General features: G+C 40.4%; 1 protein-coding gene across 28 annotated transcripts in view, besides 4 other annotated features; it reads left to right on the top strand.

Moving 5' to 3' along the window:
• Positions 1 to 13,584, top strand: part of C11orf65 (chromosome 11 open reading frame 65) — a 161,363-nt gene that overhangs the window by 38,760 nt on the left and 109,019 nt on the right. The window lies entirely within an intron of this gene.
• Positions 455 to 599: an enhancer, noted in NCBI's record as "145 bp 11:108301322 sequence used in MPRA reporter constructs". NCBI's record gives its function as "activates a minimal TATA-containing promoter with rs11212628 allelic activity by MPRAs in UACC903 melanoma cells {active_cell/tissue: UACC903}" and the evidence as "EXISTENCE:reporter gene assay evidence [ECO:0000049][PMID:36423637]".
• Position 527: a transcriptional cis regulatory region, noted in NCBI's record as "rs11212628 or 11:108301322 MPRA-significant variant associated with a GWAS melanoma risk locus at 11q22.3". NCBI's record gives its function as "allelic transcriptional activity by MPRAs in UACC903 melanoma cells {active_cell/tissue: UACC903}" and the evidence as "EXISTENCE:reporter gene assay evidence [ECO:0000049][PMID:36423637]".
• Positions 7,004 to 7,148: an enhancer, noted in NCBI's record as "145 bp 11:108294773 sequence used in MPRA reporter constructs". NCBI's record gives its function as "activates a minimal TATA-containing promoter with rs4754319 allelic activity by MPRAs in C283T melanocytes {active_cell/tissue: C283T}" and the evidence as "EXISTENCE:reporter gene assay evidence [ECO:0000049][PMID:36423637]".
• Position 7,076: a transcriptional cis regulatory region, noted in NCBI's record as "rs4754319 or 11:108294773 MPRA-significant variant associated with a GWAS melanoma risk locus at 11q22.3". NCBI's record gives its function as "allelic transcriptional activity by MPRAs in C283T melanocytes {active_cell/tissue: C283T}" and the evidence as "EXISTENCE:reporter gene assay evidence [ECO:0000049][PMID:36423637]".

The raw sequence follows: 13,584 nt of genomic DNA, 5'->3' as shown, positions 1-13,584 counted from the left end.
TCTGGGAGATAATGCCAGATTATTTCCCAAAGCTATTGTACTAATTTATATTTGCACTAGCAATCTTTGGTATTCTTAGTGCTTTACATTCTCACCAATACATAATATTGTCAGTTTGTAATTTGTATTTCCCTGATACTTTTGTGATGTGGAAAGTGCTTATTCAACTCTCCTCTGTGTGTGTGTGTGTGTGTGTGTGTGTGTGTGTGTGTGTGTGTGTGTGTTCCCTATCCTTATGGGTTTTGGGTTTTTTTTTGTTTTATTTATTTATTTTTTTAAGACAGGGTCTCACTCTGTCACCCAGGTTAGAGTGCAGTGGCACGATCAGGGCTCACTGCAGCGTTAACCTCCTGGACTCAAGCAATCCTCCTGCTTCAGCCCCATGAATAACTGGGACTATAGGCGCATGCCACCGCGTCCAGCTAATTTTTTGTATTTTCAGTAGAGACAGGGTTTTGCCATGTTGCTCAAGCTGGTCTTGAACTCCTGGACTCAAGTGATCTGCCTACCTTGGCCTCCCAAAGTGCTGGGATTACAGGTGTAAACCACCGTACCCTTATTGGTCTTTTAAAAATCAGTTCTTTGTATTTTTTTAAAACTACTTTTTTCTCAATTTACTTTTTGTGGTAAAGTACGCATAATATAAAATTTACTATCTTAACGATTTTTAAGAATACAGTTCAGGCTGGGCGCAGTGGCTCACACCTGTAATTCCAGCACTTTGGGAGGCCGAGGCGGGCGGATCACGAGGTCAGGAGATCGAGACCACCCTGGCTAACATGGCGAAACCCTGTCTCTACTAAAAATACAAAAAAAAAAAAAAAAATTAGCCAGGCGTGGTGGCAGGTGCCTGTAGTCCCAGCTACTCGGGAGGCTGAGGCAGGAGAATGGCATGAACGTGGGAGGCGGAGCTTTCAGTGAGCAGAGATCACACCACTGCACTCCAGCCTGGGCGACAGAGCAAGACTCTGTCTCAAAAAAAAAAAAAAAAAAAGAATACAGTTCAGTAGTACTAAACACATTTATAATGTGTGTAACCATCACCAACCATCACCACCACCCATCTCCATAAATCTTTTCATCTTACAAAACCAAAACTCTATCCTCATTAAACAGTAACTCCTTATTTTCCCTTCCACCTATCTCCCAGCAACTATCATTCTACCTCCTGTCCCTATGAATTTGACTAATTACCTCATAGGAGTGGAATTATACAGTACTTGCCTTTTTGTGATTGGCTTATGTCACTTAGCACAGTGTCCTCAAGATTCACCCATGTAATAGTTTATTGCGGGATTTCTTTCCTTTCTTAAGGCTGAATAATATTCCATTGTGTGTATATACTACATTGTACTTGTTCAGTCATCCACCAATGGACACTTGGGTTGCTTCCATGTTTTAGCTATTATGAATAATGCTTCTATAAATGGTTATACAAATATCTCTTTGAGACCCTTCTTTTAATTCTTTTGGGTATATATCCAGAAGTGGAATTGCTGGATCATATGGTAATTCCATTTTTAAGTTTTTTAGGAACAACCATACTGTTTTCCACAGTGGCTGTACCATTTTGTACTCTCACCAATAATGCACAAGGGTTATATATTCTTCATAGAAGCCCTTTGTCAGTTATCTGTTACTTGCATCTTTTTTTCACTCTGTGGCTTGTCACTCTCTTAATGGAGTCTTTCCTTTGATTTTTATTATAAAACATGTCAAATATATGCAAAAGGAGAAAGAGTAAAATCATAAGCCACCATGTACCCATCATCTAGCTTCAACAGTTAGCAATTCATAACCAATCTTATTTCATCTATACCTCTACCCACTTTCTACAACCTCTAGGTTATTTTGAAGCAGTGGTGTCTTTTGATGAACAAAGTTCTTAATTTTAATGTAGTTCAATTTATCAATATTTTCCTATGTGGTTGGTGCCTTTTTAATTTGTTTTTTTCTTTTTTCTTTTTCTTTTTTTGAGACAGGGTCTCGTTCTGTCTCCCAGGCTGGAGCATAGTGGTGTGATCACAGTTCACTGCAGCCTCAACCTCCTGGGCCCAAGCGATCCTCCCACCTCAGCCTCACAAGTAGCTGGAGCAACAGGCACATGCCACCATGCCCAGCTAATTTTTTCATTTTTTGTAGAGATGGGATCTCCCTAGGTTACGCAGGCTCGTCTCAAACTCCTGGGCTCAAGCAATCCTTATGCCTTGGCCTCCCAATGTGCTGGGATAACAGGCATGAGCCACTACACCAAGCTGGTGTTTTTTGTTTTGTTTCGTTTTTTGGTATTTTTGTTTGTTTGTTTGTTTTTTAATACTTTAAGTTCTGGGATACATGTGCAGAACATGCAGGTTTGTTACATAGGTATACATGTACCATGGTGATTTGCTGCACCCATCAACCTGTCATCTACATTAGGTATTTCTCCTAACGCTATCCCTCCTCTAGCCCCCCAACGCCTCTACAGACCCCAGTATGTGATGTTCCCCTCCCTGTGTCCATGTGTTCTCATTGTTCAACTCCCACTTATGAGTGAGAATGTGCGGTGTCTGGTTTTCTGTTCCTGTGTTAGTTTGCTGAGAATGATGGTTTCCAGCTTCATCCATGTCCCTGCAAAGGACATGAACACATCCTTTTTTATGGCTGCATGGTATTCCATGGTGTATATGTGGCACATTTTCTTTATCCAGTCTGTCATTGATGGGCGTTTGGGTTGGTTCCAAGTCTTTGCTATTGTGAACACTGCTCCAATAAACATACGTGTGCATGTGTCTTTATAGTAGAATGATTTATAATCCTTTTGGTATATACCCAGTAATGGGGTTGCTGGGTCAAATGGTACTTCTGGTTCTAGATCCTTGAGGAATTGTCACACTGTCTTCCACAACTGGTAGAACTAATTTACACTCCCACCAACAGTGTAAAAGCATTCCTGTTTCTCCACATCCTCTCCAGCATCTATTCTTTCCTGACTTTTTAATGATTGCCATTCTGGGTGGGCGCGGTGGCTCACGCCTGTAATCCCAGCACTTTGGGAGGCCGAGGCGGGTGGATCACGAGGTCAGGAGATCGAGACCATCCCGGCTAAAACGGTGAAACCCGTCTCTACTAAAAATACAAAAAATTAGCCGGTCGTAGTGGCGGGCGCCTGTAGTCCCAGCTACTTGGGAGGCTGAGGCAGGAGAATGGCGTGAACCCGGGAGGCGGAGCTTGCAGTGAGCCGAGATCCCGCCACTGCACTCCAGCCTGGGCAACAGAGCGAGACTCTGTCTCAAAAAAAAAAAAAAAAAAAAAAAGATTGCCATTCTAACTGGCGTGAGATGGTATCTCATTTTGGTTTTGATTTGCATTTCTCTAATGACCAGTAATGATGAGCTTTTTTTTTTTTTTTTTTTTTTTTGAGGCGGAGTTTCGCTCTGTCGCCCAGGCTGGAGTGCAGTGGCGCGATCTCAACTCACTGCAAGCTCCGCCTCCCGGGTTCACGCCATTCTCCTGCCTCAGCCTCCCGTGTAGCTGGGACTACAGACGCGCGCCACCATGCCCGGCTAATTTTTGTATTTTTTTTTAGTAGAGACGGGGTTTCACCGTGTTAGCCAGGATGGTCTCGATCTCCTGACCTCGTGATCCGCCTGTCTCGGCCTCCCAAAGTGCTGGGATTACAGGCGTCAGCCCGCGCCCGGCCGAGCTTTTTAAAATATGTTTGTTGACCACATAATTGTCTTCTTTTGAGAAGCATCTGTTCATATCCTTCACCCCCTTTTTGGTGGGGTTTTTTTTTTTTTGTAAATTTGTTTAAGTTCCTTATAGATTCTGGATATTAGCCCTTTGTGAGATGGATAGATTGCAAAAATTTTCTCCCATTCTGTAGGTTGCCTGTTCATTCTGATGATAGTTTCTTTTGTGTGCAGAAGCTCTTTAGTTTAATTAGATCCCATTTGTCACTTTTGGCTTTTATTGCCATTGCTTTTGGTGTTTTAATCATGAAGTCTTTGCCCATGCCTAGGTCCTGAATGGTATTGCCTAGGTTTTCTTCTAGGATTTTTATGGTTTTAGGTCTTACGTTTAAGTCTTTAATCCATCTAGAGTTAATTTTTGTATAAGGTGTAAGGAAGGGGGGTCCAGTTTTAGTTTTCTGCATATGGCTAGCCATTTTTCCCAGCACTATTTATTAAATAGGAAATCTTTTCCCCATTGCTTGTTTTTGTCAGGTTTGTGAAAAATGAGATAGTGTCAAAGATGTGTTTGTTTTTGTCAGGTTTGTCAAGGATGAGATGTGTGGTGGTATTTCTGAGGCCTCTGTTCTGTTCCATTGGTTTATATATCTGTTTTGGTATCAGTACCATGCTGTTTTGGTTACTGTGGCCTTGTAGTATAGTTTGAAGTCAGGTAGCATGATGCCTCCAACTTTGTTCTTTTTGCTTAGGATTGTCTTGGCTATACAGGTTTTTTTTTTGGTTCCATATGAAATTTAAAGTAGTTTTTTCTAATTCTATGAGGAAAGTCAATGGTAGCTTGATGGGGATAGCATAGAATCTATAAATTACTTTGGGCAGTATGGCCATTTTCACAGTATTGATTCTTCCTATTCATGAGCATGGAATGTTTTTCCATTTGTTTGTGTCCTCTCTTATTTCCTTGAGCAGTGGTGTGTAGTTCTCCTTGAAGAGGTCCTTCATATCCCTTGTGAGTTGTATTCCTAGGTATTTTATTCTCTTTGTAGCAATTGTGAATGAGAGCTCACTCATTATTTGGGTCTCTGATTGTCTATTATTGGTGTATAGGAATGCTTGTGATTTTTGCAGATTGATTGTGTGTCCTGAGACTTTGTTGAAGTTGCTTATCAGCTTAAGAAGATTTGGGGCTGAGACAATGGGGCTTTCTAAATATACAATCATGTCATCTGCAAATAGAGACAATTTGACTTCCTCTCTTTCTATTTGAATACTCTTTATTTTTTTCTCTTGCCTGATTGCCCTGGCCAGAACTTCCAATACTATGTTGAAAAGGAGTGGTAAGAGAGGGCATCCTTGTCTTATACCGGTTTTCAAAGGGAATGCATCCAGCTTTTGCCCATTCAGTATGGTATTGGCTGTGGGTTTGTCATAAATAGCTCTTATTATTTTGAGATACGTTCCATGAATACCTAGTTTATTGAAAGTTTTTAGCACGAAGCGGTGTTGAATTTTATCAAAGGCCTTTTCTGCATCTATTGAGATAATCACGTGGTTTTTGTAATTGGTTCTTTTTATGTGATGGATTACATTTATTGATTTGTGTATGTTGAACTAGCCTTGCATCCCAGGGATGAAGCCGACTTGATCGTGGTGGATACGCTTTTTGATGTGCTGCTAGATTCGGTTTGCCAGTATTTTATGGAGGATTTTCACATTGATGTTCATCAGGTATATTGGCCTGAAATTTTCTTCTTTTGTTGTGTCTCTGCCAGGGTTTGGTATCAGGATGATGCTGGCCTCATAAAATGAGTTAGGGAGTAGCCCCTCTTTTTCTATTGTTTGGAATAGTTTCAGAAGGAATGGTACCAGCTCCTCTTTGTATCTCTGGTAGAATTCAGCTGTGAATCCATCTGGTCCTGGGATTTTTTTGGTTGGTAGCCTATTAATTACTGCCTCAATTTCAGAACTTGTTATTGGTCTATCAGGGATTTGACTTCTTCCTGGTTTAGTCTTGGGAGGGTGTATGTGTCCAGGAATTTATCCATTTCTTCTAGATTTTCTAGTTTATTTGCATAGAGGTGTGTATAGTATTCTCTGATGATAGTTTGTATTTCTCTGGGATCAGTGGTGATATCATCTTTATCATTTTTTATTGTATCTATTTGATTCTTCTCTCTTCTTTGTTAGTCTGGCTAGTGGTCTATTTTGTTAATCTTTTCAAAAAAACAGCTCCTGGATTCACTGATTTTTTGCAGGTTTTTTTGTGTCTCTTATCTCCTTCAGTTCTGCTCTGATCGTAGATATTTCTTGTCTTCTGCTAGATTTTGAATGTGTTTGCTCTTGCTTCTCTAGTTCTTTTAATTGTGATATTAGGGTGTCAATTTTAGATCTTTCCCGCTTTCTCCTATGGCCATTTAGTGCTATAAATTTCCCTCTAAACACTGCTTTAGCTGTTTCCTGGGAAGTCTGGTACATTGTGTCTTTGTTCTCATTGGTTTCAAATAACTTATTTATTTCTGCCTTCGTTTCGTTATTTATCCAGTAGTCATTCAGGAGCAGGTGTTAAGGTTCCATGTAGTTGTGCAGTTTTGAGTGAGTTTTAAAATCCGGAGTTCTAATTTGATTGCACTGTGGTCTGAGAGACTGGTAGGATTTCCATTCTTTTGCATTTGCTGAGGAGTGTTTACTTCCAATTATGTGGTCAATTTAGAATAAGTGCGATGTGATGTTGAGAAGAATGTATCTTTTGTTGCTTTGGGGTGGAGAGTTCTGTAGATGTCTATTAGGTCTGCTTGGTCTAGAGCTGAGATCAAGTCCTGAATATCCTTGTTAATTTTCTGTCTCGTTGATCTGTCTAATGTTGACAGGGGGGTGTTAAAGTCTCCCATAATTATTGTGTGGGAGTCTAAGTCTCCTTGTAGGTCTCTAAGAACTTGCTTTATGAATCTGAGTGTTCCTGTATTGGGAGAGTGTTTTCCAACTTGGTTCCATTCTCCCCATCACTTTCAGGTATATCAATCAAATGTAGGTTTGGTCTTTTCACATAGTCCCATATTTCTTGGAGGCTTTGTTCACTCCTTTTCATTCTTTTTTCTCTAATCTTGTCTTCATGCTTTATTTCATTAAGTTGATCTTCAATCTCTGATGTCCTTTCTTCCGCTTGATCAATTCAGCTATTGATACTTGTGTATCCTTCACAAAGTTCTTGTGCTGTGTTTTTCAGCTCCATCAGGTCATTTATATTCTTCTCTAAACTGGTTATTCTAGATAGCAATTCCTCTAACCTCTTTTTAAGGTTCTTAGCTTCCTTACATGGGCTAGAACATGCTCCTTTAGCTCGGAGGAGTTTGTTATCCACCTTCTAAAGCCTACTTCTGTCAATTCGTCTAACTCATTCTCTGTCCAGTTTAGTTCCCTTGCTGGCAAGGAGTTGTGATACTTTGAAGGAGAAGAGGTATTCTGGTTTTTGGAATTTTCTGCCTTTTAGTGCCTGTTTTTCCTCATCTTTGTGGTTTTCTCTACCTTTGGTCTTTGATGTTGGTGACCGTCGAATGGGGTTTCTGTGTGGATGTTCTTTTTGTTGATGTTGATGCTATTCCTTTCTGTTTGTTAGTTTTCCTTCTAACAGGCCCCTCTGCTGCAGGTCTGCTGGAGTCTGCTGGAGTTCCACTCCAGACCCTATTTGCCTGGGTATCACCAGTGGAGGCTGCAGAACAGCAAAGATTGCTGACTGTTCCTTCCTCTGGAAGCTTTGTCCCAGAGGGGCACCTGCCAGATGCCAGCCAGAGCTCTCCTATATGAGGTGTCTGTCAACCCCTGCTGGGAGATGTCTCCCAGTCAGGAGGCATGGGGGTCAGGGATCCACTTGAGGAGGCAGTCTGTCCCTTAGCAGAGCTCGAGCACTGTGCTGGGAGATCTGCTGCTCTCTTCAGAGCTGGCAGGCAGGAACGTTTAAGTCTGCTGAAGCTACACCCACAGCCACCCCTTCCCCCAGGTGCTCTGTGAGGGGAAAACAGCCTACTCTAGCCTCAGTAATTGCAGATGTCCCTCCCCCCACCAAACTCCAGTGTCCCAGGTCGATTTCAGACTGTTGTGCTGGCAGCAAAAATTTCAAGCCAGTGGATCTTAGCTTGCTGGGCTCCATGGGGGTGGGATCCGCTGAGCTAGACCACTTGGCTCCCTGGCTTCAGCCCCCTTTCTAGGGGAGTGAATGGGTCTGTCTCGCTGGCATTCCAGGTGCCACTGGGGTATGAAAAAAAACTGCAGCTAGCTTGGTGTCTGCCCAAAGGGCTGCTCAATTTTGTGCTTGAAACCCAGGGCCCTGTTGGCATAGGCAACCTAGGGAATCTCCTGGTGTGCAGGTTGGGAAGATCGTGCGAAAAGCATAGTATCTGGCCAGAATGCACAGCTGGTGCTTTTTATAACCTTTTCCAACTCCAAGGTTATAAAAATATTCTCATATTATACAAGATTTATTGATTTGCATTTTATACTTAGATCTGCAGTCCACCTGGGACTGACCTCTGTGTATGGTGTGAGGTACAGGCCAGCTTTTTTTTTTTTTTTGAGACAGAGTCTTGCTCTGTCGCCCAGGCTGGAGTCCCATGGTGCGATCTTGGCTCACTGCAACCTCCGCCTCCCAGGTTCAAGTGATGCTCCTGCCTCAGCCTCTCGAGTAGCTGGGACTACAGGTGCCCGCCACCATGCCCTGCTAATTTTTGTATTTTTAGTAGAAACGGGGTTTCACCATGTTAGCCAGGATGGTCTCCATCTCCTGACCTCGTGATCCGCCCACCTTGGCCTCCCAAAGTGCTGGGATTACAGGTGTGAGCCACCATGCCCAGCCCAGGTCAACATTCTCATTCTTCCCTACAGATATCCAAGTGATTAAATGCTATTTATTGAAAATACTATCCTGTCCCTACTGCTCTGCGGTGCCACCTTTAAAATAATTAAATCAGGTGGCCATTTATGTATTGGTCTGTTCCATTGGTCTATTTTTCTACTGTTGTCGTAACTATTACAGCTTTATAACAGTCCTATTAAATGGTAGAGAAGACCTCCAATCTTACAATTCTTTTTCAAGAAAACACTCCAGGCTATTCTTGAATGCTTTTTATTTCCACATAAATGTTTGAATTAGCTTTTCAATTTCCACACCAAAATAAATCTGTTGGGGAAGTGAAAATTGTAGAGTAAGGAATTCTAAGAATAAGTGTCGGCCAGGCGCGGTGGCTCACGCCTGTAATCCCAGCACTTTGGGAGGCTGAGTCGGGCGGATCATGAGGTCAGGAGTTCGAGACCAGCCTGGCCAACATAGTGAAACCCCGTCTCTACTAAAAATACAAAAATTAGCCAGGCATGGTGGCATGCGCCTGTAGTCCCAGCTACTCGGGAGGTTGACAGGAGAATCGCTTGGGCCAGGGAGGCAGAGGTTGCAGCAAGCCGAGATTGCGCCACTGCACACCAACCCGGGTGACAGTGTGAGACTTCGTCTCAAAAAAAAAGAATAACCATCAGAATCAACTTTATTGGAACTCTGGAATCTAATTAAAAACTTAGAGCAACCAGGGGAATGCTTTTAATGGAGAAAAAGGCTACTAAACTTGAAGAAAGCAGGGTGGTGTTTTTGCCTACCTATCAAACATGCCTTGTTCTCCAGCTTGGCAGCAGCTGTGGAAACAAAGGCCCCTATTCCTGGTGTGGCTTTTTGGGGCCAGAGTGTAAAATATAGAACTTGTTCTCAAAAATTGTGGTTATGTTTGAGTGTGTGTGTTTGTTTTTGTTTTTGAGATGGAGTCTTGCTCTGTCACCCAGACTGGAGTGCAGTGGCACGATCTCGGCTCACTGCAACCTTCGCCTCCCAGATTCAAGTGATTCTCCTGCTTCAGCCTCCCAAGTAGTTGGGATTACAGGCGCCACCACCAAGCCCAGCTAATTTTTTTTGTATTTTTAGTAGAGACAGGGTTTCACCATGTTGGTCAGGCTGGTCTCGAACTCCTGACCTCAAGTGATCCGCTCGCCTCGGCCTCCCAAAGTTCTGGGATTATAGGCGTGAGCTATCGCACCTGGCCTGGTTGTGTATTTTGATTTGTCTGGCAGTTCCCCGAGGAACCTGCACAGAGTTTCCCTTTATTTCACACCTCTCCATGCCATCACAGGGATGGGCCAGCTTATAGGATTTAAAATCATATACAACCTGCAGCCACCTCAGGCAATAGACAGCAGACAAGGCAGGAACAGGCAAACCTAAAAATCTAGGTAGAATGAAGCTGAGGAGAAAGATACATGGACATGTCTGAACAAATAGAGATTATCAAAAAAGAGAAAGACGACTAGTGCTTGCCAGGTGTTGGGGGCTAGGGTGAAGGAAGTGACTGCTTGATAGATATGGGGTTTCCTTTTGGAGTGATGAAAATATTGTGGAAGTAGTGGCTGTATAATATGAAAGTACTAAATGTCACTAATGGTTAATTTATGTTGTGTGGATTTTTACCAAAATAAAACATATTTTTAAAGTCTATTGGAATTTTGGCCGGGTGCGGTAGCTCACACCTGTAATCCCAGCACTTTGGGAGGCTGAGGCAGGAGGATCACTTGAGCTCAGGAGTTTGACACCAGCCAGGGCAACATAGTGAGACCCCATCTCTACAAAATAAAAATAAAAAATTAAATTAAAAGTCTGTTGGAATGTTGATCGAGATTGTATTGAATATTTGGCTCAATTTGAGGAAAACTGGTATCATGACAATACTGAGAGCTCTAAATCATGAACATTTGTGGGAAATAAGGGATATGCTGTTAGATCCCTCTTTAAGAAGGATTTACTACCCAATCTCAGGGACTGCAGTCCACAGACAGCCTCCAGCTGTGAGGATCTTCAGTTTCTACCCTAATTGCAAAGAACTGCCTGATGCTAGGTCAACCCTTTCCAGTGATGCTAGGTCAACCCATGTCCAGTGACTGAGCAGAATGTGGTGGGTGAGGAGATGGGTCTAGAAGCCATTGTGGCAGTATTCACTTTAGAGGTCCAAGCAGAATTGGCCCAGGCTTTGTGTGGCTTACATTGCAGTTCCAACTCTTCTTCTGCCCAGTTCTTCTTCCCTCCCCTTTCTTCCATAGGTATTGAGCCCTAATAAACCTGTGGCACTCAAACTTCATATAAGCATCTTCTTTTGGAAAACCTAATTTGAAATGTTATTTAGTTCTTCTAAATTTTCTCTGAACAAATGCTTTATAGTTTTCTATAGAGAGGTCTTACATATCTTTTGCTAGATTTATAACTTGCTTTTTAATGCTCCTATAAATGGTTAATTACAAAATTTTTATTTTCTTATTTTTGATGCTATTATGTAGAAAGACAATCAATTTTTGCACATTAGCTTTGTTCCCAACAACTTTGCAATCCTCATTTATTAATTCTAATAATGTGTACATTGATTATTTTGGATTTTCAATATAAACAATCATGTCATCCTCAATGAGTTTTGTTTTTGCCTTTTCAAACATGATACATTTTATTTCTTTTTCTTGCCATTATACACTGGCTAGAGCCTTCAGTAATGGTGAATAGAAGTGATAACCACTGTCTTATTCTGGATTTCAGAGGGAAAGGATCAATATTTCATCATTAAGTATGAGGTATGCTATTTTTGTTTGTTTGTTTGTTATAGAATCCTTTTATCTGATTAAGGAAGTTTCCTTCTATTCCTGTTGAACTAAAAGAGTTTTTTGATTTTATTTTTAGAGGCCAGGTCTCACTCTGTTACCCAGGCTGGAGTGCATTGGTGCCATCATAGCTCACTGCAGCCTCAACCTCCTGGGCTCAAGTGATCCTTCCACCTCAGCCTCCCAAGTAGCTGGGACCACAGGTGTGGGCCACCATGCCCAGCTAATTTTTTAAAACTTTTTTTGTAGAGACAGAGTCTTCCTATGTTGCCCAGACTGGTCTCAAACTCTTGTCCTCAAGCAATCCTCCTGCCTTGGCCTTTGAAAGTGCCAGGATTACAGACATGAGCCACTGTGCCCAGACAAGAGTTTTTTAGAAATCCAAGAACAGATGCTAAATTTTATGAGACCTTTTTTGCTTTAATTGAGATACAATTTTTCTTTTGTTCTTATTTTTTGTTTGAATGTTAAATCGTCTTAGCGTTCCTAGAATAGGTACATTTTGGTTATGATTATCTTATCCCTTTAAAATATCACTGAATTTAGTTTGCTAATATTTGGTATAAATATTTGCACCTGTGTTCCTGCAGAACGTCTAATTTACTGTCTCTGTCAGATTTTGGTATCACATTTAGCTGGCCTCCTAAAACAAATTGGGAAATGTTTCTACTCTGTTTATTTTCTGAATTTCTTTTTCACATTGAGTGTTATTTTCATCCTTAAATGTACTTTGTAAGGATTTACTAATGAAACCATCTGTGCCAGAAGTTTTTTCCATGAAAAGATTTTAAATTACATTCAATTTAGAATTATAGTTCTATTTCTATTTTGTATTTCTTCTTGTGCTAGCTCTGATAAGTTGTATTTTTCTAGGAAGTTTTCATCTAAATTTTCAAATTTATTAGCTTAAAATTATTCATAATACTTTTTATGATCTTTCTAATGCCTTAGAATCTGTAATAGTTATCTTTATTTTATTCCTGGTATTGGTTATTTGCATCTCCTCTTTTTTTTCTTGAGCAGTCTCTTTGGAGTTTATTACTTTTATTGGTCTTTTCCAAAAACAATTTTTAGCTTTGTTGTTTCTTTGTGTTGTTCATTTGTGTCCTACCTCATCATTTTCTGCTGTTTATTATTTCCTTCTTTATATTTTCTTTGAATTCTGTTTGCTGTTATTTTTCTAACTTTTTGAAATGGATGCTGAATTTATTGACTTGTAGCCTTTTCTGGTATATGTATTTAAGGACATAAATTTTTATCTAAGAATGGTCTTAGCTGCAGCTTACAAGTTTTGATATGTCATATTTTCATATCAAATTCAGTTCAAAATATTTTAAAATTTCTACTTTATTTCAGTTATTTAATTTGGAAATTAGCCAGTTATCTTTTTGTTGTCAGCCCTTATCTTGATTGTGCTGTACTTTCAATCCTCTGTTGTCTATTTTTTATAAATTTTTATCTGTACTTGAAAAGAATATATATTTTTTAGTTATTGAGCATAGTATTGCATAGATGTCAATTAGGTCAAATTTTTCAGTTATGTTGATCAAATCTTCTATAGCCTTACTGAATATTTTTGTCTAGTTATACTATCAGTTACTGAGAGATATGTATTAAAAGCTTCCACTATGACTGAAGATTTGTCTATTTTTCTGGTGGTTTGTATATATTTGAGACCATGTTATTAAGTGAATACTTCAGATTATTGTATCTTTCTTGAATTGAACCTTTTATCATTATAAAGTGTGTCCCTTAAGGTCTCAAATTTCTGGTATTAATACAACCACACCAACTGTCTCTTTTTTTTTTTTTAACAAATCAGAAAGTTTTACTGTCAGTAATATTGTGTTTCCTTTTTTTATTATCATACTTTAAGTTTTGAGATACTTGTGCAGAATGTGCAGGTTTGTTACATAGGTATACACTTGCCATGGTGGTTTGCTGCACTCATCAACCCATCATCTACATTAGGTATTTCTCCTAATGCTGTCCCTCCCCTAGCCCGCCACCTGCTGACAGGCCCCAGAGTGTGATGTTCCCCTCCCTGTGTCCATGTGTTCATTCTCATTGTTCAACTCCCATTATGAGTGAGAACATGCGCACACCAACTGTCTCTTATTTGCATGGTACATCTTTCCTGTCATTTTACTTCCAACATTCTGAATCTTTACATTTTTGCTGTGTCTTTTTATAGGCAGCAGGTTTTTTTTTGTTTGTTTGTTTTTGTTTTTTTGAGACAGAG

The sequence above is a fragment of the Homo sapiens genome, chromosome 11 (assembly GCF_000001405.40).
Source record: "Homo sapiens chromosome 11, GRCh38.p14 Primary Assembly".
Lineage (NCBI taxonomy): Eukaryota > Metazoa > Chordata > Mammalia > Primates > Hominidae > Homo > Homo sapiens.
The sequence above is the reverse complement of the archived record's forward strand: the minus strand, read 5'-3'. Positions and strand labels throughout refer to the sequence as shown.